The sequence below is a fragment of the Homo sapiens genome, chromosome 8 (genome assembly GCF_000001405.40).
Source record: "Homo sapiens chromosome 8, GRCh38.p14 Primary Assembly".
Classification (NCBI taxonomy): domain Eukaryota; kingdom Metazoa; phylum Chordata; class Mammalia; order Primates; family Hominidae; genus Homo; species Homo sapiens.
The window spans coordinates 11,842,375-11,868,097 of record NC_000008.11 but is presented as its reverse complement, the minus strand read 5'-3'; the positions used below and the strand labels follow the sequence as shown (position 1 = coordinate 11,868,097).

General features: G+C 51.7%; 1 protein-coding gene across 13 annotated transcripts, besides 10 other annotated features; it reads left to right on the top strand.

Moving 5' to 3' along the window:
- Positions 11-25,574, top strand: CTSB (cathepsin B). 13 transcript variants are annotated; one of them, NM_001384726.1, is made up of 12 exons: positions 11-97; positions 3,635-3,722; positions 10,158-10,240; positions 14,619-14,769; positions 15,403-15,488; positions 17,118-17,232; positions 18,934-19,052; positions 19,946-20,031; positions 20,276-20,419; positions 20,930-21,046; positions 22,309-22,437; positions 22,876-25,574. In NM_001384726.1, exons 4-12 carry the CDS (start codon positions 14,644-14,646, stop codon positions 22,971-22,973), a joined length of 1,020 nt encoding a protein of 339 aa, NP_001371655.1. In that variant the 5' UTR covers positions 11-97; positions 3,635-3,722; positions 10,158-10,240; positions 14,619-14,643; the 3' UTR covers positions 22,974-25,574. The 13 variants fall into 13 exon arrangements, with proteins under 13 accessions (NP_001371655.1, NP_680090.1, NP_001371653.1 ...); NM_147780.4 differs by lacking the exon at positions 10,158-10,240 and adding an exon at positions 6,619-6,692; NM_001384724.1 differs by lacking the exon at positions 10,158-10,240 and adding an exon at positions 6,619-6,737.
- Positions 118-447: a silencer, noted in NCBI's record as "silent region_18944". NCBI's record gives its function as "represses an Ori minimal core promoter by ATAC-STARR-seq in GM12878 lymphoblastoid cells {active_cell/tissue: GM12878}" and the evidence as "EXISTENCE:reporter gene assay evidence [ECO:0000049][PMID:35858748]".
- Positions 538-747: an enhancer, noted in NCBI's record as "active region_27038". NCBI's record gives its function as "activates an Ori minimal core promoter by ATAC-STARR-seq in GM12878 lymphoblastoid cells {active_cell/tissue: GM12878}" and the evidence as "EXISTENCE:reporter gene assay evidence [ECO:0000049][PMID:35858748]".
- Positions 6,757-6,926: an enhancer, noted in NCBI's record as "active region_27037". NCBI's record gives its function as "activates an Ori minimal core promoter by ATAC-STARR-seq in GM12878 lymphoblastoid cells {active_cell/tissue: GM12878}" and the evidence as "EXISTENCE:reporter gene assay evidence [ECO:0000049][PMID:35858748]".
- Positions 9,060-9,109: an enhancer, noted in NCBI's record as "active region_27036". NCBI's record gives its function as "activates an Ori minimal core promoter by ATAC-STARR-seq in GM12878 lymphoblastoid cells {active_cell/tissue: GM12878}" and the evidence as "EXISTENCE:reporter gene assay evidence [ECO:0000049][PMID:35858748]".
- Positions 10,263-10,796: an enhancer, noted in NCBI's record as "H3K4me1 hESC enhancer chr8:11714811-11715344 (GRCh37/hg19 assembly coordinates)". NCBI's record gives its function as "activates a minimal SCP1, AML or CMV promoter by ChIP-STARR-seq in primed H9 embryonic stem cells {active_cell/tissue: H9 hESC(primed)}" and the evidence as "EXISTENCE:reporter gene assay evidence [ECO:0000049][PMID:30033119]".
- Positions 14,381-14,988: an enhancer, noted in NCBI's record as "H3K27ac-H3K4me1 hESC enhancer chr8:11710619-11711226 (GRCh37/hg19 assembly coordinates)". NCBI's record gives its function as "activates a minimal SCP1, AML or CMV promoter by ChIP-STARR-seq in naive H9 embryonic stem cells {active_cell/tissue: H9 hESC(naive)}" and the evidence as "EXISTENCE:reporter gene assay evidence [ECO:0000049][PMID:30033119]".
- Positions 14,624-14,918: an enhancer, noted in NCBI's record as "tiled region #10233; HepG2 Activating DNase matched - State 5:Enh, and K562 Activating non-DNase unmatched - State 14:Gen5'". NCBI's record gives its function as "activates a minimal TATA promoter and a strong SV40 promoter by Sharpr-MPRA in HepG2 and K562 cells {active_cell/tissue: HepG2 | K562}" and the evidence as "EXISTENCE:reporter gene assay evidence [ECO:0000049][PMID:27701403]".
- Positions 18,167-18,349: a silencer, noted in NCBI's record as "fragment chr8:11707258-11707440 (GRCh37/hg19 assembly coordinates)". NCBI's record gives its function as "represses an EF-1alpha promoter that drives an FKBP-Casp9 reporter gene in an ReSE screen in HepG2 liver carcinoma cells {active_cell/tissue: HepG2}" and the evidence as "EXISTENCE:reporter gene assay evidence [ECO:0000049][PMID:32094911]".
- Positions 18,580-19,273: an enhancer, noted in NCBI's record as "H3K4me1 hESC enhancer chr8:11706334-11707027 (GRCh37/hg19 assembly coordinates)". NCBI's record gives its function as "activates a minimal SCP1, AML or CMV promoter by ChIP-STARR-seq in naive H9 embryonic stem cells {active_cell/tissue: H9 hESC(naive)}" and the evidence as "EXISTENCE:reporter gene assay evidence [ECO:0000049][PMID:30033119]".
- Positions 19,274-19,968: an enhancer, noted in NCBI's record as "H3K27ac-H3K4me1 hESC enhancer chr8:11705639-11706333 (GRCh37/hg19 assembly coordinates)". NCBI's record gives its function as "activates a minimal SCP1, AML or CMV promoter by ChIP-STARR-seq in naive H9 embryonic stem cells {active_cell/tissue: H9 hESC(naive)}" and the evidence as "EXISTENCE:reporter gene assay evidence [ECO:0000049][PMID:30033119]".

Genomic DNA, 25,723 nt, shown 5'->3' with positions numbered 1-25,723 from the left:
AGGCTACGGCGGCTGCAGGGCTCCGGCAACCGCTCCGGCAACGCCAACCGCTCCGCTGCGCGCAGGCTGGGCTGCAGGCTCTCGGCTGCAGCGCTGGGTGAGTGCTGGGGACCCGGGGCCACCGCAGCGTAAGTGACCTTGGCGGGGACGGTGCTACCCGGCCGCCGAGACGGGTTCCTCTGCGCCCTCAGTCGGGCCCAGGCGCGGCCCCGCGGCGTCCCTGGGGGCCGGCGGGGAGCCGGGACCCTCGGGACTGTCCCTGACGGGCGGGCTGGGGTGGGAGTCCGCGCGCTCCGAAGCGTCGGCGAGAAAAGCAGAAAACAGCTCCGCCCGCCAGCCCTCTGCCCTCCGCTCCCCTCCCCGGGCTGTGCGCCGGACCCCGGCCCTCGGAGCGGGGACGCGGCCAGGACCGCCGAGGGAGGCGCCTGCGAGGAAGAGCTCGGCCGGGTCCGGAGACTGCTGCCTGGGACCGCGCTCCCAGCGCCTGGGCCTCGGTGTCTCCGGGCCAAACTGCCGACATAATCGCATCTGCCGGCATCTATTTTCGGTTTATTTCCCCCTCATTGCGAAGGATTTGCCTGGCCAACTTTCTGCGCAAGATCCCACGCAATTCCTGGGACCCCAGAAGACAGGTCCTGTTGAAGAACAGGAATCTGGCACTGGGTGGGCTGGGGAGGAAGCCGCACGGTGTTAAATCCATAAACAGGAAGAGAAACCAGACAGCGAAACCAAGAGGCGAATGGGCGATTGGATGCCGGTGGGGAGAAGGCCGGGGGCGCACCCTGCTCCTGGACTCCAGTAAAGGGAGGCCGGGCAGAGTCCCTGGGGCGCCACCTCCCCCTCGGTTAGTAGCCCTGGAGGCCGGGGGGAGTTGGCCTCTGGGGAGCAGTGGGTGCTGGGTGTGGGGCGTTGCAGGCAGGCTGGGGTGGGCGACCCAGGTGGAAGTGAATTGCACTTGGCTTCCTGGTGGGCCTCTGTCACCCCCTTCCCAGGCGCTGAGAAAGCCAGCAGGCTGGCAAAGAAAAGGACCCTAGCGCAGGCCCCACACTCCTCCTCCTAACGGACGAGAGACCCCCCAAACCCACTGGAGAAGTGACGCTGTGGGGTTCAAATGCAGACCTGGCACCTTTTTGTAGCCTGGAAAAACATTCCCACTGCCTGCTGCCGGAGGAGAGGATAGCTGAGATGCACTCTCTTTGAATCCAAACGTTCAGGAACGTAAGGCGAAGAGGCCTAAGAGGGCGTTGGCTGGCTCTGTCTCTCAGGCTGGAGCACAGTGGCGCGATCTCGGCTCACTACAACTTCCGCCTCCCAAATTCAAGCTATTCTCCTGCCTCAGCCTCCCGAGTAGCTGGGATTACAGGTGCCCGCCACCACGCCCAGCTAATTTTTGTATTTTTAGTAGAGATGGGGTTTCACCATGTTGACCAGGCAGATCTTGACCTCCTGACCTCAGGTGATCCGCCTGTCTCGGCCTCCCGGTGAGTCACGGTGCCTGGCCAAGAACTGTTTCTTGTTGGCTCTGGTGCTGGTGACTTAGAACCCGCCAGCTCCTGGAGAAAGGGGCTGGGCCGCCCACCCTGTGTAGCTTTCCCAAAGACAGAGTCAAACGTCTCCTGGAGAACAGAGGCTTCCCTTCGTCTTTGGTCATTTGTCCTCTAGCTGGGGGTACCCCCTGGTGGAAAGGCACAGGTCCCTTGCTCCCCAGGTGGCAACGCAGGCCAGACACGGCCCTGGCACAGCTCTCCTGGGTGTTGGCTCAGGACAGCCCTGTTTCCAACTGGTTAGGCGGTGAGGGGTGGTGGCCCTTTGGTTCCAGGTTGAAACTGCCCATGTGGTGCTGATTTAGCAGACTGGGGAGGCTCTTTTTGTAGGCAGGTTCTTTTCTTTCCCCAGCTGCTGGACCTGGGAGTTGGAAGAGAAGTTGCACCCATTTTAGGGGTAACAGATATTTTCTGTTGCTCTTGGTTGGATTGGGAAGTGAATTGAAGGGAGGTCACGTTTCAGGGGTGCCTTGGGATGTCTGTCAGTGATTTTCTTTTCTTTCTTAATTTCTTTTTCTTTCTTTTTTTTTTTTTTTTGAGACACACTCCCTCTATCGCTCAGGCTGGAGTGCAGTGGTGCGATCTCGGTTCACTGCCACCTCCGCCTCTCATGTTGAAGCAATTCTCCTGTCTCAGCCTCCCTCCCAAGTAGCTGGGATTGCCAGTGCCCATCACCACACCTGGCTTTTTTTTTTTTTTTTGTATTTTTAGTAGAGACGGGCTTTCACCATGTTAGCCAGGCTGGTTTTCGAACTCCTGATCTCAAGTGATCCGCCTCAGCCTCCCAAAGTGGTAGGATTACAGGCATGAGCCACCGCGCGGTGGAGGGGTAATTTTCTTAAATCTGGTAATGAGTTGTGGTTGTGTAGAGTAACATACCGTCCTTTCGAGATATGGACTGAAACATTGAGAGGGAGGAGTTACAGGTATGTCGATTCTTCTTTTCTCTCTCTCCTTTTTTTTTTTGAGGTGGAGTCTGACTCTCTCACCCAGGCTGGAGTGCAGTGGCAAGATCTCAGCTCACTGCAACTCCGCTTCCTGTGTTCAAGCCATTCTCCTGCCTCAGTCTCTCAACTAGCTGCGATTACAGGCATGTGCCTCCACACTCAGCTAATTTTTTTATTTTTAGTAGAGATTTTTTGTCTCTCCTAAAAAAATCCAATGTAAAAAAATCCCAATGTGGGGGTTTTGCCACGTTGGCCAGGCTGGTCTCGAACTCCTGACCTCGTGATCCGCCCACCTCGGCCTCCCAAAGCGCTGGGATTACAGGTATGAGCCACTGCGCCCAGTCTGCTGCCTCTTTTCAATGGTCTGGCCTAAGGAAATTATTGGAAACATGTGCGGTTGAGTGATATTTACTGGGCACTTCCACATGGTCCATGTAAAGGGAGATGGTTGGGGTGACAGGCAGTTGAGTCTAGGGGAGGCATGTACAGATGTGCTGTGCCTCTGGGATATCAGGGTGGCAGGCAGCAGTCTCTACGTCTGGTCCCAGGCTGCCTGAGAAAGAGCATGTGGGAGGCAAACCTTGCGCCCTGGCATGGTTGTTAATGTTTATATTTACCCTAGCTTGTGTGGGGTAGGAGGTTTAGGGATCAAATTCCACTCTGTGTTTAGACATTTTTTTCTTTCTTTTTTTTTTTGAGACAGTTTCACTCTGTCACCCAGGCTGGAATGCCGTGGCACAATCTCAGCTCACTGCAACCTCACCTCCCAGGTTCAAGCAATGTTCCTGCCTCAGCCTCCGGAGTAGCTGGGATTAGAGGCATGCACCACCATGCCTGGCTAATTTTTGTATTTTTAGTAGAGACCTCAAATGATCTGCCCGCCTCGCCTCCCAAAGTGTTGGGATTACAGGTGTGAGTCACTGTGCCCAGCCATGTGTTTAGACTTTTAACTAATCTCTTTTTTAGTTTCAAGCCTTATCGTCCGCCTCTGTAGACCACTCCTGTGCCTGTTTCCTGATCCTTCCAAGGGCCATTGTATTCCCTGTCTGCTGCCCCTCTTTTGGATTCTTCTGCACATTTTTTTGTTCATGCATTCATTCATTTATTGTTTGATTAATGACAGGGTCTTGCTTTGTCTCCCAGGCTGGTGTGCAGTGGTGCGACCACGGCTCACGGCAGCCTCAGCCACCCAGATGTAAGCGATCTGGTTCCCACCTCAGCCTCCCGAGTAGTAAGTAGCTGGGACCACAGGCGGTGCCCAGGTTTTTTTTTTTTTTTTTTTTTTTTTCGTTGGTAGAGACAGGGTCTCACTGTTGCCAGGACTGCTCTGAAACTCCTGGTTTCAAGTGATCCCCTTGCCTCCTCCCACTTAGGCCTTCCAAATGCTGGGATTACAAGGCATGAGTCACCTCCAGGCCTTTTTGTACTTTTAAAACTCTGCATCAGTGTATAAACAATGTTATTAAAGTTTATATGACTTCAGTTACACTACATGGATCCTTTTTCACTCACGGTTGTGAGATTTATTTCTGTTGCTACATCCAGTTCTAGTCCATTTGTGTTAAGTGCCCAGTGTGTTTATCTACTGAGGGACAGTTATGTTATTTCGTGTTCACTATTATCCCATGCTACAATAAATATCCTGTGTCTCCCAGATACTTAGAAGAGTTTCTGCAGGGCACATGTGGGAGAGTTTGTTTCTGGGTCATGAGGTGTGTTCATCTTCCATCTTGCTAGATGCTGGCAAAGGGTTCTCCAGTGTGGTTGCATCAATTTACTCGCCCAGCAGTGTGCAGAGTTCCTGTTCCTCACATTTACCAACACTAGATAGTACCAGACTTTGATTTTTGCCAATCTGATGGGTTTGAAGTGGTACCCCTGTTTTAATTTCATGACCAGAAATTCAAATTTAATCTTTGCTGTAGGACAACAGTAACCCACTTATGCCTAGTGTTCCATTATTAGAACGCTAAGCATGTGGGAGTTTTTACATCATACTGCTCAAGGTCATCGCCAAGGTCTGATGTTTTTACTCGTGCAAAAATTTAAAAAATTGCAACCTCTGGCATAAATGGGTTGAGTGACACTTTTCCTGTTTTTATTGTTGGTCAGTGATGGCATATTTGCTGGGTTTTTTTGTTTTTTTTTTGAAACGGAGTCTCACTGTGTCGCCAGGCTGGAGTGCAGTGGTGTAATCTCGGCTCACTGTAACCTCCGCCTCCCGGGTTCAAGTGATTCTCCTGCCTCAGCCCCCTGAGTAGCTGGGATTACAGGCGTGTGCCACCACGCCCAGCTAATTTTTGTATTTTTAGTAGAGACGGGATGTCACTATGTTTGTCGGGCTGGTGTTGAACTCCTGAGCTCATGATCTGCCTGTCTTGGCTTCCCTAAGTGCTGAGATTACAGGCCTGAGCCACCGCTAGCCTATTTATTTTTTATTTTAAATTTTAATTTTCTATATAGAGACGAGGTCACTATCCTGCCCAGGCTGGTCTTAATCTCCTGGGTTCAGTCAATCTTCCCACCTTGGCCTCCCGAAGTGTCAGAATTATAGATGTGAGCCACTGTGCTCAGCCCAGAACTGATGTTTTCTAAATGCTGGGTGCTGAGAAGGATGTGTGGCTGGCAGTCTTGACTGTGTTATCTGTCTTTACCAGGCCAGTAACTTCTTTGGTCTGGTCATCAAGATAATCTAGCATCACCAGCAAGCATGCATGGAGAAGGATGGGCCCAATGTGGCCAAGATGGTAACGGGACCAGTAGAGAGCCCTGTAGAAGACATCTAGATATTCTGCCCTAAGAGCCCGGAGGGCCGGGCTGTCTCATGACCCTCTGACGTGCTGACCTGGACTCTGGCAGAATGTGCACACACACAGTCACACAGCTTCCTGGCTTGCGCAAGTCCCAGGAGGGCGGTGCCAGCCACAGGCTTTTCCCATTCGAGGGTTGGAAGCGTATCATCAAACCACATCAGAGTGCTGGGGGCCACCTGCCACCCATTCCCAACCCACTCAGCCTTCCTGGTGTTTGGGACATGCTTTGCTTTGGCAGTCAAGACAGCAGAACAAATCAACTTTTAAGGCCTTGTCACTGATAGTACAATTTCCATTATTTTTCATCCAAATTAGGATACTTCTGAAAATAGAAATGATGACTCTGGGATGCAAACGTTGGCTGTCCTATGTATAAGGAGATGGCTTTTCACGCTCCCAGTGACTGAGGAAGTTTCTCCCAGATGGCGCTGCTCTGAGCCTGGTGCAGGGTAGGCACTTTCAAAAGAGTGTCTCCTTGTATCTTCCATCAGCCTTGCGAGATGGGTATCTGTTCCCAGGGCCCCAAGGGAGGAAAACAGGACCTAGCTGGATCCAAGAGCTAGGCCTTTCTTTTTTTTTTTTTTTTTGAGATGGAGTCTGACTCTGTCGCCCAGGCTGGAGTGCAGTGGCGTGATCTCGGCTCACTGCAAACTCCGCCTCCCGGGTTCACGCCATTCTCCTGCCTCAGCCTCCCGAGTAGCTGGGACTACAGGCGCCTGCCACCATGCCTGGCTATTTTTTTGTATTTTTAGTAGAAACGGGGTTTCACCGTGTTATCCAGGATGGTCTCGATCTCCTGACCTCGTGATTCGCCCACCTCAGCCTCCCAAAGTACTGGGATTACAGGCGTGAGCCAGCATGCCCGGCCCAGAGCTAGGCCTTTCTGTGGCTGGCCTTCGCGTCAGCCTCAACTACCCTGGTGTAATCTCGCCTGCGGTTGAATTAGGGAACCGCCGTGTTCTGCAAGCTGGAGAGGCAGAACACTAATGAGCAGAACACTAATCTCATTGCAATCTCAAAGGATCTCTAAAAGCTTTTATAAAGCAGGCCCAAGGTCCTTTGGTATCCGATGCAGACGTGGTGAATGCATTGGCTCTGTCAGCATCTGAGCAAGTCAGTAACAGAAATGGGGAGTAAAAGCTTTCAGAACTTTCCAGAATATTGACTAAATTGTCTTGTTTACAACCAACAACGACAACAAAAAATAACTGCTGAGGGCCTTCGTAGTGTCTGCTGTTTCAAGTGTACAGTAGTCATTTTGTCTGCAGGATGTGGGGTTGCTGTGGCTGACCTTGTACAATATTCCACTCATAGGTGTCTTCAGGCCTATGGAGAGCAGCTTGCGTGGGCTGGGCCTGCAGTACCTGGTTTGCATAGATGATTGGCAGGTGGGCAGCACGGGGAAGGACCTGTGAGTGGCCAACCTGGTTCAGGTGAGGGAGGTGGAGTGGGGCTTCTCTGCTTCCCCTGGTTCCCTGGAAGCCTCCAAGGCTGGTGAGCATCACTGCTGCCTCTGCACACCTGTGTGCTGGGTGGGTTTTCTGACAGGTTTTCAGTTGCTTCGGGGCTACAGCTGCAGGGAGCCTGCTCCATGGGACAGATGGGCCTCTGGTGCCCGTTCATCAGGGGACTGATGAGACCGAGGCCTGAGAGCCCTTTGGATTTTGTTTTTGTCCTTAATTTAATCATAAGCCAAGAATCTACTAAACACAGTTCCATTAGGGGCAAAGACGTAACACATCAGAGGCCACAGCAAGGCTGTGATTCATACTCAAAAAGGAAAGGTCTCTGGGTCACAACAGAGCATAGTTGAGGTCAGCACACTCCCACCCAGTGCAGGGCTGCTCCAGCATTGAGGTGTGTCTGGCAGGTTGAAGTAGGGGAAGATGAAACTCGCCGAAGTCTTGTTTTGTGGTTGCACTTAAGTGGTCAAAACTTCAGGAGCAACTGCCGTTATTAGCGGTGAGTGCCAAGACTAGTTTTTATAGAAGAGAAAGAAACAAAGTACTCTGGGAAGGTCTTACTGAGCCTTCACAGTCTCCCCACCTTTCCACTGTTCCCGTGCTCTTAGCCGCTCTGCTGGCCTATAAGGCACAGTCTTCATTTGTGGCTTCTGGCAAAATGTAAGCACTTGACTTTTGTTTTTGTTTTGTTTTGTTTTGTTTTTTTGAGACGGAGTTTCCCTCTTGTTGCCCAAGGTGGAGTGCAATGGTGCGATCTCAGCCCACTGCAGCCTCCACCTCCTGGGTTCAAGCAATTGTCCTGCTTCAGCCTCCCGAGTAGTTGGGATTATAGGTGCACAACCACCACGCCTGGCTAATTTTTTGTATTTTTAGTAGAAATGGGATTTCACCATGTTAGCCAGGCTGGTCTCGAACTCCTGACCTCAGGTGATCCACCTCCTTGGCCTCCCAAAGTGCTGGGATTACAGGTGTGTGCCACTGTGCCCGGCCAACTTTCAATTCTTTAGAGCTGACTATGAGAGGAGCCAGCAGTATAGCCACAGCACCAACGAATGAGGAAGAGCAAAATACTGCATGACAGCTTTGCTAAGAATTCTTTCACTTTTTTTGTCTATCAGCCAGGAGCTAGCAACTTGGCTTATTTGGAAATTTTAAGTGTACATATCCTGTCTCCTTAAATCCTTTACAGATTTAAAGTGCAGTCTACCTGAGGGCTCTGTGACCATGTAAGAAAGCTTTTTCTTTCTTTTTTTTTCTCTGAGACAGAGTGTTGCTCTGTCGCCCAGGCTGGAGTGCAGTGGTGTGATCTTGGCTCACTGCAACCTCTGCCTCCTGGGTTCAAGCAATTTTCCTGCCTCAGCTTCCTGAGTAGCTGGGACTACAGGCAGCACCACCATGCCCGGCTGAGTTTTGTATTTTTAGTAGAGACAGGGTTTCACCATGTTGGCCAGGCTGGTCTTGAACTCCTGACCTCGTGATCCGCCTGCCTCAGCCTCCCAAAGTGCTGGGATTACATGCGTGAGCCATTGTGTCCGGCCTTTTTTTTTTTTTTTTTTTTTTTTTGAGACAGAGTCTCGCTCTGTTGCCCAGGCTGGAGTGCAGTGGTGTGACCTCAGCTTACTGCAACCTCCGCTTCCTGGATTCAAGTGATTCTCCTGCCTCAGCCTCCCAAGTAGGTGGGATTACAGGCACCCACCACCGTGCCTGGCTAATTTTTGTATTTTTAGTAGAGACAGGAGTTTCACCTTGTTTAGTAGAGACAGGCTGGTCTCGAACTCCTGACCTCAGGTGATCCGCCTGCCTTGACCTCCCAAAGCGCTGGGATTACAGGCATGAGCCACTGTGCCTGGCCAGAAAGCCTTCTTTATTGAGCTTGGTGGCAGCCCAAAACTGATTCTTTAAGGGTGTCAGGACTTAACACCTCCTGTGACTTAGCCGCACCTCCTCTCCTTTGACTTTCATTCCACCTCCTTCCAGGATCGCAAGGTCCCTATTTGTCCTGGAAACGGCTTCAAGGTAGTCTAGGGTGCCGTTTGCCGGGGGAGGAAGGTGCTCTGGTTGATAGAGTCGCCTGGCCGCACACTCTTTTTGGCACATAACAACGTTCTACAGAGCCGGGGTGGAGCGTGCTTTCTCATAAGTGCTCTGCAGGTTTGGAGAGAGAGGATATGAGGAGCACCCTTTTCTGTTTTTTTTAACCCAAAGATTAGCTTGGAAAAGGGGCAGAGGGGTGCACTGGAACTCAGGTCTGCCTAAGCAGCACAGCAGACCAAGGTCTAGAGATGACATCTGCTCGCAGCTGTTCTTCCACCAGCCCGCATCCTGGAAAGGGGTCTTGTGGCACACAAGAGTTCACATCCTTCCCTCGTGAAATAAGGACTTTGTGTTCATCATCTCTTGTAAGAAGCAGAGCAGAAAGCACAGAATTAAGAAATAAAAGGGAAGTGGGTGCCTATATAAAGGGAAGTGAAAATGGGTTGCTGTCCCATGCAAAGACCCTGGAAAGCTGTTAACAGCTCAGCTTGTCACTTTCACCATCTGCATTTGTCCAGAGTGATTGAGATTTGCGTTGTTGTGGAGAGAAAGGCGCCTGTTGCACAATGGAGTGAGATTGCCACTGCTGTCAGGACCTCTGTGTTTGGCTTGACACTTTTTGAGTTCTCAGCAGTCTCGGGACCCTCAAGAGTGGAAGCATTTTTGGATGTTAAATGCTGGGGTTAATTGAAGTTAAGAGCTTGTTTTACTGGGCATGGTGGCTCACACCTATAATCCCGACACTTTGGGAGGCCAAGGCGGGCAGATCACTTGAGTCCAGGAGTTTGAGACCAGCCTGGGCAACATAGCAAAACCCCATCTCTACAAAAAATACAAAGCTGGGCGTAGTGGTGTATGCCTGTAGTCCCAGCTCCTTAGGAGGCTGAGGGGAGCAGATCTCTTGAGCCCAGGAGGCAGAGTTTGCAGTGAGCCATGATCGTGCCACTGCACTCCAGCCTGGGCAACAGAGTGAGATCCTGTCTTAAAACAAACAAAAAAAACAAACTTGTTTTCATTTAGACTCTTCCTGGCGTTGGGGACCTATTGGAATAGGTTTAGTGTGAACTGAGAGCTAGAAGTGTTAGAGGAGAGAGGGAGGGAACAGAGCCCGCTGGAGCGAGTGCCCTTCCTACCTTATCACTGCATGCCAGGCATGTGCCGGCGCTTTGGTCCTCCTCATTTCATTCTTGACTGCCACCTGAGACACGATGGTTACTAGCTCCATTTTATAGGTGGTGAAACTGAGGCTTGGGGAAGGTCAGACCCCAAGGGTGCCATTTAGTCAGTGGCAGAGCCAGATCCAAATGCAGGTCTCCTGACTCCAAGTGCAGGGCTCATTTTATCGTCCGGTTGCAGCACGCTGGCGGCCCCTTGAGCCCCAACCTGGATACCATAGGGGAGGAGCAGAGAAGCCAGGAACACCACAGCCCTGGGCCAAGGTGCGGGGCTGAAAGAACTTCCCAGCGCTCAGCCTGGGACTAGTGGAATGGGCTGGGCCCTGGGGCTGGCAGCGGTGGCCCCGGGGAGCCTGGGAATGAGTAGGGAGCACAGGGAGGTGTGGGAGGGCCTGGGAACCATGAAAAGGAGGGCGGGTGCAGGGAAGTCGCCTGCTAGTGAAGTGGCGAGGGGGCCCTGTGGGACTCCAGGGAATGGCCACGGCAGGTTGTCCTCCAGGAGTTGAGAGCCACTGGACATGGCAGCTGCCTGTGTTCTCAGCCACCACAGTAACCAAAGAAATCTTGGTTTTAAAATTCAAGTTGCCATGGAAACGCTCCCATCCTCGACTTGGCTTATTATTTAAAATAACATCTCTACAGCACAAAGCCCCCGGGTACATCCAAGGACACTGCTGTCTGCCCACGAGACATGCTAACCTCACAGTGTGGAGGCTGTGTGGGTCACTGACATGCATGGCCACGTGAGACGCTGCCTACCCACGAGTCACGGAAAAGGGGAAGATTATTAAGAAAGTCACTAGGGGCCAGGTCCAGTGGCTCATGCCTGTAATCCTAGCACTTTGGGAAGCTGAGGCAGTTAGATCCCTTGAAGCCAGGAGTTCAAGACCAGCCTGGCCAACATAACGAAACACGGACTATACTACAAAAATTAGCCAAACGTGGTAGCACAGGCCTGTAATCCCAGCTACTCAGGAGGCTGAGGCACAAGAATCACTTGAACCTGGGAGGTAGAGGTTTCAGTGAGCCAAGATTGCGCCACTGTACTCCAGCATGTGCCACAGAGCGAGACTCCCATCTCAAAGTCACTAGGGAGGAAGCCTCATTGGTGGGAAGGAAGACCAAATTGGAAATGCTCTGAGGAATCATTAAAACAAATGTCCTTTTATCAGTTTGGTGGCTCAGGGCCTTTAGTAATACTGCCAACTATTTTTCCTAGAAGAAACAAAACTGAAATAATAGGAACATACTCACTTTTTTTTTTTTCTTAAAAGTAAGGGTATGTTGTGAAAAAAAGTCTCCCCACCGTAGTGACCGACTGCCGTGCATCTTCCTTGGCATTTTGCATGTAGTGGCAGGAGTGTTCCTACATGTGTAGATTGCTGAGAGGGTCAGATGCTTATGGTCCTCAGTCACCCACAGCTTGCTTTTTCCCCACTTAACATTGGGACTTGGGGCATTTTTACTCTGTTAATACAATAGAATTCACTTCAACTAGTTGGTTTTTTACTTTTATTTTATTATTATTATTTTTAGATGAAGTCTCAATCTGTCGTCCAGGCTGGAGTGCAGCCTCTGCCTCCTGGGTTCAAGTGATTCTACTGCCTCAGCCTCCCAAGTAGCTGGGATTACAGGCATGCGCCACCACGCCTGGCTAATTTTTTGTATTTAGTAGATACAGGGTTTCACCACCTTAGTCAGGCTGGTCTCTAACTCCTGACCTCAGGTGATCCAACCGCCTCGGCTACAGGCATGCGCCACCGTGCCCCACCAACTAATTGCTTTTTTAATGGTTGCTTCATATTCTATTTAACCACTTACCGTAATTTAACAGTTACTCTGTTATTGGATACTTGATTCATTTCCAGGACATGCAGATTTAGAAACTGGTGGGCGTTGCTGGTTGATGTCTCGGTGGTTGTGCCCACCCACCCCAGGCACTCATTATCATGCCTTCCGTTTCCCCACTTCCTAAGCCCTGCAAGAAGTGCCAAACTGTCCAGCCCTTGCCAATCTGATACATGCTGAATACCTCCTTGATTTTATCTGCACCTCCCTGAGGTTGAACTTATTTTACTTTATTTTATTTTATTTTTGAGGCAGAGTCTCACTGTCACCCAGGCAGGAATGCAGTGGTGAAATCTTGGCTCACTGCAATCTCCACCTCCTGGGTTCAAGTGAGTTGAAGCAATTCTCCTGTCTCAGCCTCCCAAGTAGCTGCGATTACAGGCACCTGCCACCACACCTGGGTAATTTTTGTATTTTTAGTGGAGACGGGGTTTCACCATGTTGGCCAGGCTGGTCTCAAACTCCTGACCTCAGGCGATCCACCTGCCTCAGCCTCCCAAAGTGCTGAGATTACAAGCTTGAGCCACCATGCCGGTTGAACTTATTTTTATCTGTGTTGGCCATTTGTAGTTTTTCTATTATGCTGGTTCCATTTTTCTGACTTTGAAGAGCCTTTTGTGGAAACGAAGCCTAAAGTATATGTGAGTACTGCTTTGTTTCGTCAGTTTTTGTTTTAAAGAGACTTTTCAGTGTAATGCAAGCATTTTCCCTTGAAGGCTGTGTTTCCTGTCAATCCTAAGCTTTCCTCCAGCATTACCTTTTTAAAAAACTTTATTTTCTATATTGATGGGGTCTCACAATGTTGTCCAGGCTGGTGTTGAACACCTGGCCTCAAGTGATCCACTTGCCTTGGCCTCCCAAAGTACTGGGATTATAGGCATCAGCCACCGCACCCAGCCTGTTTTTCAAAGGGCATTGATTTTTTTCATAAAACTTTTTAAATTAAGATCTGTGGGCCTGGTGCGGTGCCTCACGCCTGTCATCGCAGCACTTTGGGAGGCTGAGTCAGGTGGATCACGAGGTCAGGCGTTCGAGACCAGCCTGGCCAAAATGGTGAAACCCTGTCTTTACTAAAAATATGAAAATTAGCTGGGCATGATGGCACATGCCTGTAATCCCGCTGCTCGGGAAGCTGAGGTAGGAGAATAGCTTGAACCCAGGAGGCAGAGGTTGCAGTGAGCCGAGATCATGCCATTGCACTCCAGCCTGGGGGACAGAGTAAGACTCCGTCTCAAAAAAACAAAACAATTCTGTGTTGCATGTGGTACTTTTTGTGTGTGAGGAGTCCAGTGTGAAGATTCAGACTTCAGGCAGCCACTTGTACAAGCACTGTCCTGTTTCCTCTCTGGCCTCACCTAGGTAACGCTGATTCCTCCACGGAGGATGTGCTTCTGAGTGGTCCGTTGGGTGCTGTGCTGATGAGCATCACCCAGCATTTTACGACACATGTGCTGCCCCAGAGGGCTGGGCTCCCGTCAGAGCTCTTTTCCACTGGCTGGGTGCGGTGGCTCACACCTGTAATCCCAGCACTTTGGGAGGCTGAGGCCAGTGGATCACCTGAGGTCAGGAGTTCGAGACCAGCCTGGCTAACATGGTAAAACCCCATCTCTACTAAAAATACAGAAATTAGGTGCGTGTGGTGGCGCACACCTGTAATCCCAGCTACTTGGGAGGCTAAGAACCTGGGAGGTGGAGGCTGCAGTGAGCCAAGATTGTGCCACTGTACCCCAGACTGGGTGACATGGCCCACAGACCAAGACCCTGTCTCAAAAAAAAAAAAAAAGCTTTTTTCCAGAGCCATCTTGCTGTCCTCATATATTTATTCTCCTAGATGAATTGTTGCTTAAGCAACAATGAAGTTTAAATTGTTCTTCAGATAGAACCCCTAGGTGCCAGGCAGTTTGTTAAGCACTGACACCGCAGTCCTGTGACTTTCATGACGACCTGTGACCTGTGGGAGGTAGAACACCTCACCCACCCGTGGGAGCCCCTGGAGTGACTGACAGGAACCCCTGCCTCACCCAGCTCCCCGCGCCGCGGCTCTCCCCAGCCCTGGATGCAGGCGCCCAGGAGACATGTATTGCTTTTGTTGAGCTGCTCACTTAGGAGGGTGACTCAGAGTTCAAGCTGGAAAGCACTGGCTTGTGACTCATGAGCCAGTGCAAGATCAAACGGCTGGGGCATCGAGGTGAGAGTTTTCCTTCTCAGAAGCCTCATCTCCGCAGCCGGAAGCAGAGCCCTTGGCTGACTGGAAAAACCAGAGAGGCCCCGGGAGTGGGTGGATGGCCAGCCCAGCCCCACCTCTCAGCCTCAACCTCCACCAGCCCACACCGAGCTTGTTTGTCTGTGTCCTGTCGAAACTAGGACTCCTGGATTGTAACTTTTCTTACATTTCCCTGTCCCCTGGGTCCTCCACTTAGGGTGTAATCACACAGACAGGCTCTTAACTGTTTCATATCACTCACTTGGGAAAGTGTCTCAAGCTGTTCTACAAATCCATGCAAAGGCCGTTTAAAAATAGCAGCGAAGGCCCTGGACTCGGTCTCGTCCAGCACAGCCCCTTGGCTCTCTCTCTGGGCTCTGGCCGCCTGGCCCCCGGGGACCCACACGAGGTCATGGCGTGCTTCGGGCAGGGGGGCGGGGATCCCATAGACACCTCAGCTCCTTAAGAGTTCTCCGCCTGGGCCAGGACGAGCATGGGGGTCCCCACTGATGCCCGAGACGGTGCCCCTGTGTGTGTGAGCCCTCGACCCACATAACAGAGAGGTGTCCTGATGCCCTCTGTCCTCTCCAGGTGGATCTAGGATCCGGCTTCCAACATGTGGCAGCTCTGGGCCTCCCTCTGCTGCCTGCTGGTGTTGGCCAATGCCCGGAGCAGGCCCTCTTTCCATCCCCTGTCGGATGAGCTGGTCAACTATGTCAACAAACGGAATACCACGTGGCAGGTAGGCTGTGGGGCTGCGTCCTATGTATGTCCCCTCCCAGGTCGGTCTGTGCACACTGACTCCAGGAATGGGAAGCCAGCCCTCACTGTGGCCCACAGAACATTGTCCTGGACTGTTGAAAAATGGCCCTGACCCTGAGTCATGTCGGCTCTGGACCACGCCTCCCTCCTTTGTCCCATACCCCACGTGTGTGCATGAGTGTGTGTGCATGTGTATGAATATATGGTTGTGTGCACGTGGAGGTGTGTGGGGGAGTAAGTGAGCTTCGGAAGTGTTCAAAACCAGCTAGCCCCTGTGACGCCCGCCGTGGCACAGTGGCAGTTTATCAGTCCCGCCCCTGATTCCCTTTGTCTCTGCCCAGCCCTGACCCTCGGACTGAGAACCAAGAATGAGGAGTGAGCCATGTTGAGGGCTGGAGAGGGTCTCTGATTGTCAGCAAATGGGAGCAGATCAGGGGAGACACCCACTCTGCCCGTGTGTCACTCTGGGCTGTTCCCCAGTGCCCCCCAACCCTTGGGCCCTTGAATTGGGTAGGGTCTCTGGTTTTCCCTGGGTTGGGCTTCGTGTGTGGGCAGCGTGCCCATCCACCGCCATCCCGGGAGACCCTTCAGTCAGTGGGTGACTCTCTTCCAGGCCGGGCACAACTTCTACAACGTGGACATGAGCTACTTGAAGAGGCTATGTGGTACCTTCCTGGGTGGGCCCAAGCCACCCCAGAGGTGAGTGCCTGCTCCTCTGCACCGCTGTAATGTGAGTGGCAGGCGTTGGTTTGGGGCAGTGGGAAGTGGGAGAGTGAAGGCCTCTCTGGCGTCCGCAGGGCTCATGCTGCCCAGGGCTGCCGACACCGCTTGAGGTACAGTACTTGTTTCTTTTCATTTTTATATTACTTTCTCTTTTTATTTTATTTTTTCCTTCTCAAGTTATTAGTAGAGAAGATGCTGGTGCTTTTTTTTGGTTTTTGAGAGAGTCTCACTCTGTCACCCAGGCTGGAGTGCAGTGGCACGATCTTGGCTCACTGCAAACTCTGTCTCCCGGGTTCAAGCGATTCTCATGCCACAGCCTCCTGAGTAGCTGGGGCCACAGGCTTGCACCACCGTGCACGGCTAATATTTGTATTTTTAGTAGAGACTGGGTTTCGCCATACTGGCCAGGCTCGTCTCGAACTCTTGGCCTCAGCAAGTCATCTGCCCAACTCGGCATCCCAGAGTGCTGGGATTACCGGCATGAGCCACCCCCAGTGTTTTCTATTGTGCTTCTCCAAGGTGTCTCAGCCGCAGATGTGACAGACAAGGTCTGGGTCCCCACTATGTGGGCAGACTCAATCTTGAGTAATTTAAGGGAAATCTAAGAAAAGCCAGATGAGGCCAAGTATGGTGGCTCACGCCTGTAATCCCAGCACTTTGGGATGCCAAGGCAAGCGGATCACCTGAGGTCAGGAGTTCGAGACCAGTCTGACCAACATGATGAAACCCCGTCTCTACTAAAAATAAAAAACTTTGCCAGGCGTGGTGGCGGGCGCCTGTAATCCCAGCTACTCGGGAGGCTGAGGCTAGAGAATCGCATGAACCCGGGAGGCAGAGGTTGCGGTGAGCTGAGATGATGCCACTTCCCACGTGAGGATGGGGTAGTTAAGTTGCACGACACTGCCTTCTGCACAATGGGGATGATATGAGAAATGATGAGAGGATCCTGGGCAGAGGTTGAGGCAGGAGAGCAGGGCAAGAAACACTATCTGGACTGAATAAACTTATTTAAAAATGAGTTTATAATTTGTGGATAAATTCATCTTAAAAAATCCATTACATAAGCCTAGAAAGAAGCGTACAATATCGCAAGTCAGGCCAGGTGTGGTGGATCATGCCTGTAATCCCAGCACTTTGGGAGGCCAAGGCAGGCAGATCATTTGAAGCCAGGAGTTTAAGACCAGCCTGGCCAACATGGTGAAACCCTGTCTTTACTAAAAATACAAAAATTAGCCGGGTGTGGTGGTGCATGCCTGTAATCCCAGCTACTCAGGAGGCTGAGGCACGAGAATCGATTGAACTCAGGAGGCAGAGGTTGCAGTGGGCAGAGATCTCGCCACTGCACTCCAGCCTGGATGACACAGTGAAATTCTGTCCACTCCCACCCTCCCGTCCCACCCAAAAAAAAAATCAAAAGGTGCATTGAGCAACAGAATTTCCTTTTGTTTTATGAAATTACCAAGGACACCTGTCTGCAGCCTTCTTCGGCATGTCTTGTGCTCATTTCCTTGTTAGGGGAGTGTGGCCCAGCCAAAGTGGCCTTTGCAGGGATTGGGGAGGGAGTTGTGGGATCAGAGCTTGTAATGAAGACCTTCCTTTATCCAGAGTTATGTTTACCGAGGACCTGAAGCTGCCTGCAAGCTTCGATGCACGGGAACAATGGCCACAGTGTCCCACCATCAAAGAGATCAGAGACCAGGGCTCCTGTGGCTCCTGCTGGGTAAGGCCCTGCTGGCTGGCGGGGAAGCGCTGGAGAGAAAGTGGGAGCAACACTGGAGAGTCTTGGGGGATTCGGGGTGGGGACAACTCTGACAAGGCAAGTTATAGAAACTTTCTGAGTCCCAGTTTCCATCAGTACAAAAATCACAATCCCTCTGGCCATGAATGATGGCGAGGATTAGGTGGAGTGGCGGGCAGAGCATCCAGCAGATTGCAAGTCCACGTGTACAGGTGGCGAAGCAGCTCCCTTTCCCTGACATGCTGGCCCGTCCGCAAATACCAGGAGCTCTCACTGCTACTCTGCTTCAAGAAAGCATCCCTTTAGTGTCAGTGAGCTGTCTTAATTTTGTCATTTAATTGTGGTAAAATACACGTAACAGAAATGTAATAATCTTAGCAATCTTCTTTTGTTTTCTTTTTCTTTCTTTTTTTTTTTTTTTTTTTTTTGGAGATGGAGTCTTGCTCTGTCACCCAGGCTGGAGTGCAGTGGTGGGATATTGGCTCACTGCAACCTCTGCCTCCTGGGTTCAAGCAATTCTCCTGCCTCAGTCTCCCCAGTAGCTAAGACTACAGGCATGTGCCACCACGCCCAGCTAATTTTTGTATTTTTAGTAGAGATGGGGTTTTGCCATGTTGGACAGCCTGGTCTCAAACGCCTCACCTGTTGATCTGCCTTCCTCGGCCTCGCAAAATGCTGGGATTACAGGCGTGAGCCACCGTGCCCAGCAACTATTTTCAAGTGTACAGTTCTGTAGCATTAAGTACATTCACAGTGTTGCTCAGCCACCACCACCATCTGTCCCCCGAACTCTTTTTCAGCTCGCAAGACAGAAACTCTGTCCCCATTAACACCAATATTGTAGCCCCTGGTAAGCCCCACTCTACTTTCTGTCTCTATGAATTTGACTCCTAGGGACCTCATACAAGTGGATCACAACAGTATTTATTTTCTGGGTGAGCTGTGTTTTTTGTTAAGAAAAAAACACAGCCAGGTACGGTAGCTCACGCCTGTAATCTCAACACTTTGGGAGGCTGAGGCAGGCGGATCACCTGAGGTCAGGAGTTTGAGACCAACCTGGCCAACATGGTGAAACCCTGTCTCTACTAAAAAGACAAAACTTAGCTGGGCCTGGTGGCAGGCACCTATAATCCCAGCTACTATAGAGGCTGAGGCAGGAGAATTGCTTGAACCCAGGAGGCGTAGGTTGCAGTGAGCTGAGATTGCGCCACTGCATTCCAGCCTGGGCAACAAAAGTGAAACTCCGCCTCCAGGAAAAAAAAAAAAAACCACACACACACATACAAACTAATACTACACATTTTGCAGATTTCAGAAATGAACCCAGTTTCCAGGCAGAGGTTCACGGGGGTGCTTCTCTTGCTTTAAAAGCTGAGTTGGGCAAATCGTTGAGGCAGGAGAGTGGGGCAAGTGGCTCATCACGCCTCTAATCCCAGCACTTTGGGAGGCCAAGGTGGGCAAATCACTTGAACCCGGGAGTTCAAGACCAGTCTGGCCAACGTAGCAAGACCCCATTTCTACCAAAGAAAATAAAAGCTGAGTTTGAGCCCCAGGAGCGTCCCCTGGTGTTGAGAGATCAGTTGCCTACAAGGTCTGAGGTGCCCCTGTGGCCCTTTGAGGGGACTGCTGCAGAGGGCCCAGCCCGGACATGGCAGCCTCACCCGGTGGGGCTCGTTCCTGCAGGCCTTCGGGGCTGTGGAAGCCATCTCTGACCGGATCTGCATCCACACCAATGCGCACGTCAGCGTGGAGGTGTCGGCGGAGGACCTGCTCACATGCTGTGGCAGCATGTGTGGGGACGGGTGAGTCAGGCTGTGCTTCCACAGCGGGTTTAGTGCTGAGAGACCCTGGGCCCCAGCTTCTCAGTGGAGGGGACTTTGAGGACTTCCTGGGACTGCTGCGAGTCAGAAGTGTTTCGGGGAGACTCCGAGAGTCTGGCAGGCAGGGCCTGGCAAGGCTGCTGCTTCCTGGGAGGTGCCTGAACCAAGGCTGGCCCGGCAGAGCTGTCTGAGGGGTGGCATCCCAGCAAAACAGTCAGTTTCAGAAAATGTGGTGGAATGTCTGGCCCCTGGTCTGGTTTGTGTCATCGCATGTTCCTTTTTCCTGCTTGGGGAACCAGTTTGGGGCATTTCCTTATGTGTAGTTAGCGGGGATGGCTCCACCTTAACAACAAGGTGGTGGCACAGAACTTTCTGCTCCAGCTGCCTGCAGCCTCGCCTTGGTTCCGCAGTAGCGGTGTTCACTGGCGGCTGCAGATCCGAAATGCCTGAGGGCTTAAAAAAATGCATGGGCTTCTCCCCTAACTAGTTAAATGGGAATCACTGGCGATTCTCATTTCAGAGAACTGGTGGTGTTTTTAAGTACCTTAGGGAAGTTTAGCGTCTGCTCAGTTGAGAATCAGTGTTCTACCCGGAAGGGCACTCGTAGCCTGGTCTGGTATGGACATGAACAGGAGAGCCTCCTGTCTTCTCCCGGATCTTTGTGGGCAGGGGTGGGGCTGGCGGTTATTCCCTGCAAGCTGTGCTTATCTAGGGAGCGTCCCTTGGAGGGTTTGGGGTCTGGGAGGTCTGCTCGCACCACTTGCTGCAGCTGGGGGTGGGTCCACGAGTGGCCTCGGGCACTTGGGTAGCACACAGTGGTCTGGAGAGCTGGTGGTGCTTCTCTCAGAGGTTTTCATTAGAGGCTGTCTTTTCAGCTGTAATGGTGGCTATCCTGCTGAAGCTTGGAACTTCTGGACAAGAAAAGGCCTGGTTTCTGGTGGCCTCTATGAATCCCATGTAGGTAAGTGTGTCCCCTTGGCCACTTTCTGGCCAGATGGATTGTTTGAGCAATTAACCATCATGGCTTTATTTGCCTTTATAAACTGGGGGTTGAGACAGAGGGGCTGCTGAGAGGTGCTAGCCAGGTGCACAGGCCTCTGGCAGGACCTGCCTGGCGTCCATGCTGCAGGCACGAGGCTTGCCTTGCCCCAGGTCTTCTCCGTGGGGGCTGTAGGTTGACTCCGCTTTCTCCCGCGTCCCATCAGGGTGCAGACCGTACTCCATCCCTCCCTGTGAGCACCACGTCAACGGCTCCCGGCCCCCATGCACGGGGGAGGGAGATACCCCCAAGTGTAGCAAGATCTGTGAGCCTGGCTACAGCCCGACCTACAAACAGGACAAGCACTACGGTAAGGGGCCTGGGGCCTGGCCACGGCGCACGTGGAGGCTGGGGAGCTGCTGCATCCCTCCTCACGCTGCAGCGAAGAGGTCAGGGCTGAGGAGCCTTGGGGTCCCGGAACTCTAGGATAGAGGAGGGGGAGTGATGCCCTCTTGCCAGGAGAAGCAGCACACTCTCCACTTTCTGCCTGTTCCACCCTGAACTCAGCCTCAGCCCTTCCAAACTGGAAGGGACCAAAGCCCTCCTTTTACAAGGGAGTGGCGTGTCCTGGAGTCTTGAGGTATCCTGGCCTCTTCCGGGGCCTCGTGCTCATTGCTCCGTTCTCCCATTTCTGAGCTTCCAGCCCCAGCCCTGTCCTTAGTTCTTCAGGGGAGCCTTCCTTGAGCTCCCCTGGCAGGGCAAGTCCCCTTAGATGCAGTCTTCCCCTGGAGGCCACCAGAAATCAGTGACTGGCTGACCGTGGCGTGCCACGAGGCACGGTCACTGCCCTCCCCAACCCCGAGCTCGGTTCATTTTCCAGGATACAATTCCTACAGCGTCTCCAATAGCGAGAAGGACATCATGGCCGAGATCTACAAAAACGGCCCCGTGGAGGGAGCTTTCTCTGTGTATTCGGACTTCCTGCTCTACAAGTCAGGTGCGTGCTGATGGCTGATGGCAATAGAGGGTGGGGGTCGGGAGGGGAGCCTGGGTGCCAGGATGGTTCATGTTGACCAATAGGGCTGGATTGGGCAGGCAGGTGAGGGGCTGGGGAAGAGGGCTGTGTGGGGCCTTCCATATAGGCTCACTCCTCTGTGGACCAGCCTGGCACCTGACTGTCTTTGTCCAGGTGTTGTGCCAACACACACAATTCCAGAGGCCTCTCCCAGAGCCTCTGGGCTAGTTCCTTCCCATCCATTAGCGTCCAGCTCATACATGTTCTCTGTGGGAACGCCCCCCTCCCTGGTGGCTGGCCACGCCTGCCCTCGCCTTCCTGGCTTTGCATTGCTTTACCAGCATGTTTCTGTTATAATGGCAGGCCGTTCGTGTTTGCACTGGCTGACACATTTTCTTCATCTTTCTCTTTGCAAAGGCCTAGATCGTGCCTCACACCAGTGGATGAACACACAGGGAGGACCTTGCCCTGGGTAGTGCCATAGGGACTCCAACCAAGGAATCTGGACAGTCCCCATCCCCAAGTCCTGTCTTAGAAATCCCTTGCTCCAGATGAACAGTCTTTGCTGACTGCATCTATCCCATTAATATTTTGCTAGATTGGAAACTTGTAAAACAACAGTTTGACAAAGGAAGATGATTCTGGCAAGAAAAAGTTTCTGTGAAGATGGCACTTCTTAGCATAGTCCTCGCCCTTATTATTAAAAGATGCATTTCCACTTTGACAGTGATTTCCCCACCCGAGAGCCTGGTTGGGCAGCCCTGAGCCCCTTAGCCAGTATCTTTCCCATCAGCTAGCATTAGCTGCCACCAGTCCTCCCTTCTCCTCCCTCACCTCTTCAGGGTGTACCTGGAGCAGCTATTAAAACTCTTTAAGCCGTGTAACGCTTTTGACAAACCCTTACTTACATGGAATCCCAGTATAAAGAACAGATGAATCAGTCATCTAGCATTAAATGTTTTATCAATTAGAATGTATTAGAAATTCTATTTTTAAAGCCAACAAGCACATTTTGTAGGAATCTATTTCAATATTTACTCAACAACTTTGAGTGTGTTGGGCCTTCAAAAATATATTTAATTCCCCAGTATTGTGGGACCCCCCCTGGAGCCTCCTGGTGGAGCAGCAGGTTCCCTCTGGAAGCTGTTTCTCCTTCCCGGAGCATGACCAGCTGAGTGTGGGGGGTGCTGTGGGGCGTGGGACAGTGGCCCGGTCTCGGTCTCAGCCAGTTCTTCCCTTTTCAGGAGTGTACCAACACGTCACCGGAGAGATGATGGGTGGCCATGCCATCCGCATCCTGGGCTGGGGAGTGGAGAATGGCACACCCTACTGGCTGGTTGCCAACTCCTGGAACACTGACTGGGGTGACAATGGTGAGTGGCTGCCCCCTTCCTGCCAAGAACAGTGAATTGTGAGCCACACCCCGTGGCCATCTCGGCTTTCTCTGTTCTACCCACCGCACAGCCTTAAACCCTGGACCTACGGCCAGGCTGTGAGCTCCTCCTAAGTGCCAGGCAGTCAGGAGTTCCCTTTTGCTGTGAGGGCAGACTCTGAGCAGCTTCAGAGCCAACGCCTGCAACAGTTCCCACAGCATCGCGCCAGATCCTGTGATGGGAAGGGTGACCGGGCAGGGGGCTTGCCCGTGGAGGTGTGCCCCACGGCTCCAGAAGCCTTGTGGTGTTGAGGACTGTGCTAGTGGGCCAACAGCAGGAGTGGCCAGGGATGAGTGACTTAAGGTCTTTTAAGGATGAGTCTGACTATATTGGTTGACCCTTGTCACACTTTAAAAGCACCTTACTTTTTATTCCCAGGCTTCTTTAAAATACTCAGAGGACAGGATCACTGTGGAATCGAATCAGAAGTGGTGGCTGGAATTCCACGCACCGATCAGTACTGGGAAAAGATCTAATCTGCCGTGGGCCTGTCGTGCCAGTCCTGGGGGCGAGATCGGGGTAGAAATGCATTTTATTCTTTAAGTTCACGTAAGATACAAGTTTCAGACAGGGTCTGAAGGACTGGATTGGCCAAACATCAGACCTGTCTTCCAAGGAGACCAAGTCCTGGCTACATCCCAGCCTGTGGTTACAGTGCAGACAGGCCATGTGAGCCACCGCTGCCAGCACAGAGCGTCCTTCCCCCTGTAGACTAGTGCCGTAGGGAGTACCTGCTGCCCCAGCTGACTGTGGCCCCCTCCGTGATCCATCCATCTCCAGGGAGCAAGACAGAGACGCAGGAATGGAAAGCGGAGTTCCTAACAGGATGAAAGTTCCCCCATCAGTTCCCCCAGTACCTCCAAGCAAGTAGCTTTCCACATTTGTCACAGAAATCAGAGGAGAGACGGTGTTGGGAGCCCTTTGGAGAACGCCAGTCTCCCAGGCCCCCTGCATCTATCGAGTTTGCAATGTCACAACCTCTCTGATCTTGTGCTCAGCATGATTCTTTAATAGAAGTTTTATTTTTTCGTGCACTCTGCTAATCATGTGGGTGAGCCAGTGGAACAGCGGGAGACCTGTGCTAGTTTTACAGATTGCCTCCTTATGACGCGGCTCAAAAGGAAACCAAGTGGTCAGGAGTTGTTTCTGACCCACTGATCTCTACTACCACAAGGAAAATAGTTTAGGAGAAACCAGCTTTTACTGTTTTTGAAAAATTACAGCTTCACCCTGTCAAGTTAACAAGGAATGCCTGTGCCAATAAAAGTTTTCTCCAACTTGAAGTCTACTCTGATGGGATCTCAGATCCTTTGTCACTGCCTATAGACTTGTAGCTGCTGTCTCTCTTTGTCCCTGCAGAGAATCACGTCCTGGAACTGCATGTTCTTGCGACTCTTGGGACTTCATCTTAACTTCTCGCTGCCCCAGCCATGTTTTCAACCATGGCATCCCTCCCCCAATTAGTTCCCTGTCATCCTCGTCAACCTTCTCTGTAAGTGCCTGGTAAGCTTGCCCTTGCTTAAGAACTCAAAACATAGCTGTGCTCTATTTTTTTGTTGTTGTTGTGACTGACAGAGTGAGATTCCGTCTCCCAGGCTGGAGTGCAGTGGCGCCTTCTCAGCTCACTGCAACCTGCAGCCTCCTAGATTCAAGCGATTCTCCTGCTTCAGCCTTCCGAGTAGCTGGGATGACAGGCACTCACCAATATGCCTGGGTAATTTTTGTATTTTTAAGTACATACAGGATTTCACCATGTTGGCCAGGCTAGTTTCAAACTCCCGGCCTCAGGTGGTCTGCCTGCCTCAGCCTCCCAAAGTGTTGGGATTACAGGCGTGAGCCACTGGGCCCTGCCTGTATTTTTTATCAGCCACAAATCCAGCAACAAGCTGAGGATTCAGCTCATAAAACAGGCTTGGTGTCTTGGTGATCTCACATAACCAAGATGCTACCCCGTGGGGAACCACATCCCCCTGGATGCCCTCCAGCCTTGGTTTGGGCTGGAGTCAGGGCCTGTATACAGTATTTTGAATTTGTATGCCACTGGTTTGCATTGCTGGTCAGGAACTCTAGTGCTTTGCATAGCCCTGGTTTAGAAACATGTTATAGCAGTTCTTGGTATAGAGCAAACTAGAAGAACCAGCAATCATTCCACTGTCCTGCCAAGGTACACCTCAGTACTCCCCTTCCCAACTGAAGTGGTATGAGGCTAGCTCTTTCCAAAAGCATTCAAGTTTGGCTTCTGATGTGACTCAGAATTTAGGAACCAGATGCTAGATCAAATAAGCTCTGAAAATCTGAGGAACATTGTAGGAAAGGTTTGTTAAGCATCTCTTAAGTGCCATGATGAGCATAACAGCCGGCCGTCGTGGCTCACGCCTGTAATCCCAGCACTTTGGGAGGCCAAGGTGGGAGGATGACAAGGTCAGGAGTTCAAGACCAGCCTGGCCAACATGCTGAAACCTCACCTCTACTAAAAATACAAAAATTAGCTGGGCATGGTGGCACATGCCTGTAATCCCAGCTACTTGGGAGGCTGAGGCAGGAGAATCGCTTGAACCCGGGAGGCGGAGGTTGCAGTGAGCCAAGACAGTGCCAGTGCACTCCAGCCTCGGTGACAGCGCAAGGCTCCGTCTCAATAATTAAAAAAAAAAAAAAAAAAAAAAAGGCCGGGCGCAGTGGCTCAAGCCTGTAATCCCAGCACTTTGGGAGGCTGAGGCGGGCAGATCACCTGAGGTCAGGAGTTTTGAGATCAGCCTTGGCAACACGGTGAAACCCCATCTCTACTAAAAATACAAAATTAGCCAAGCATGCTGGCACATGCCTGTAATCCCAGCTACTCGGGAGGCTGAGGTACGAGAATCGCTTGAACCTGGGAGGCAGAGGATGCAGTGAGCCGAGATCACGCCATTGCACTCCAGCCTGGGGGACAAGAGTGAATCTGTGTCTCACCAAAAAAAAAAAGAAAAAGAAAGATGCTTAACAAAGGTTACCATAAGCCACAAATTCATAACCACTTATCCTTCCAGTTTCAAGTAGAATATATTCATAACCTCAATAAAGTTCTCCCTGCTCCCAAACTGAGTTGATTCATTCCATGCGCACTGTCTCCCTCACCTCCATCGTATACGCACCTGCAGCTCCTTGCCTGCTTCTAGCATGGAGCCAGCGGGGATGTGCTGGTGAGTGACAAGGAATTGTGGGGCATGTCGACATCAGCTTAAGGCTT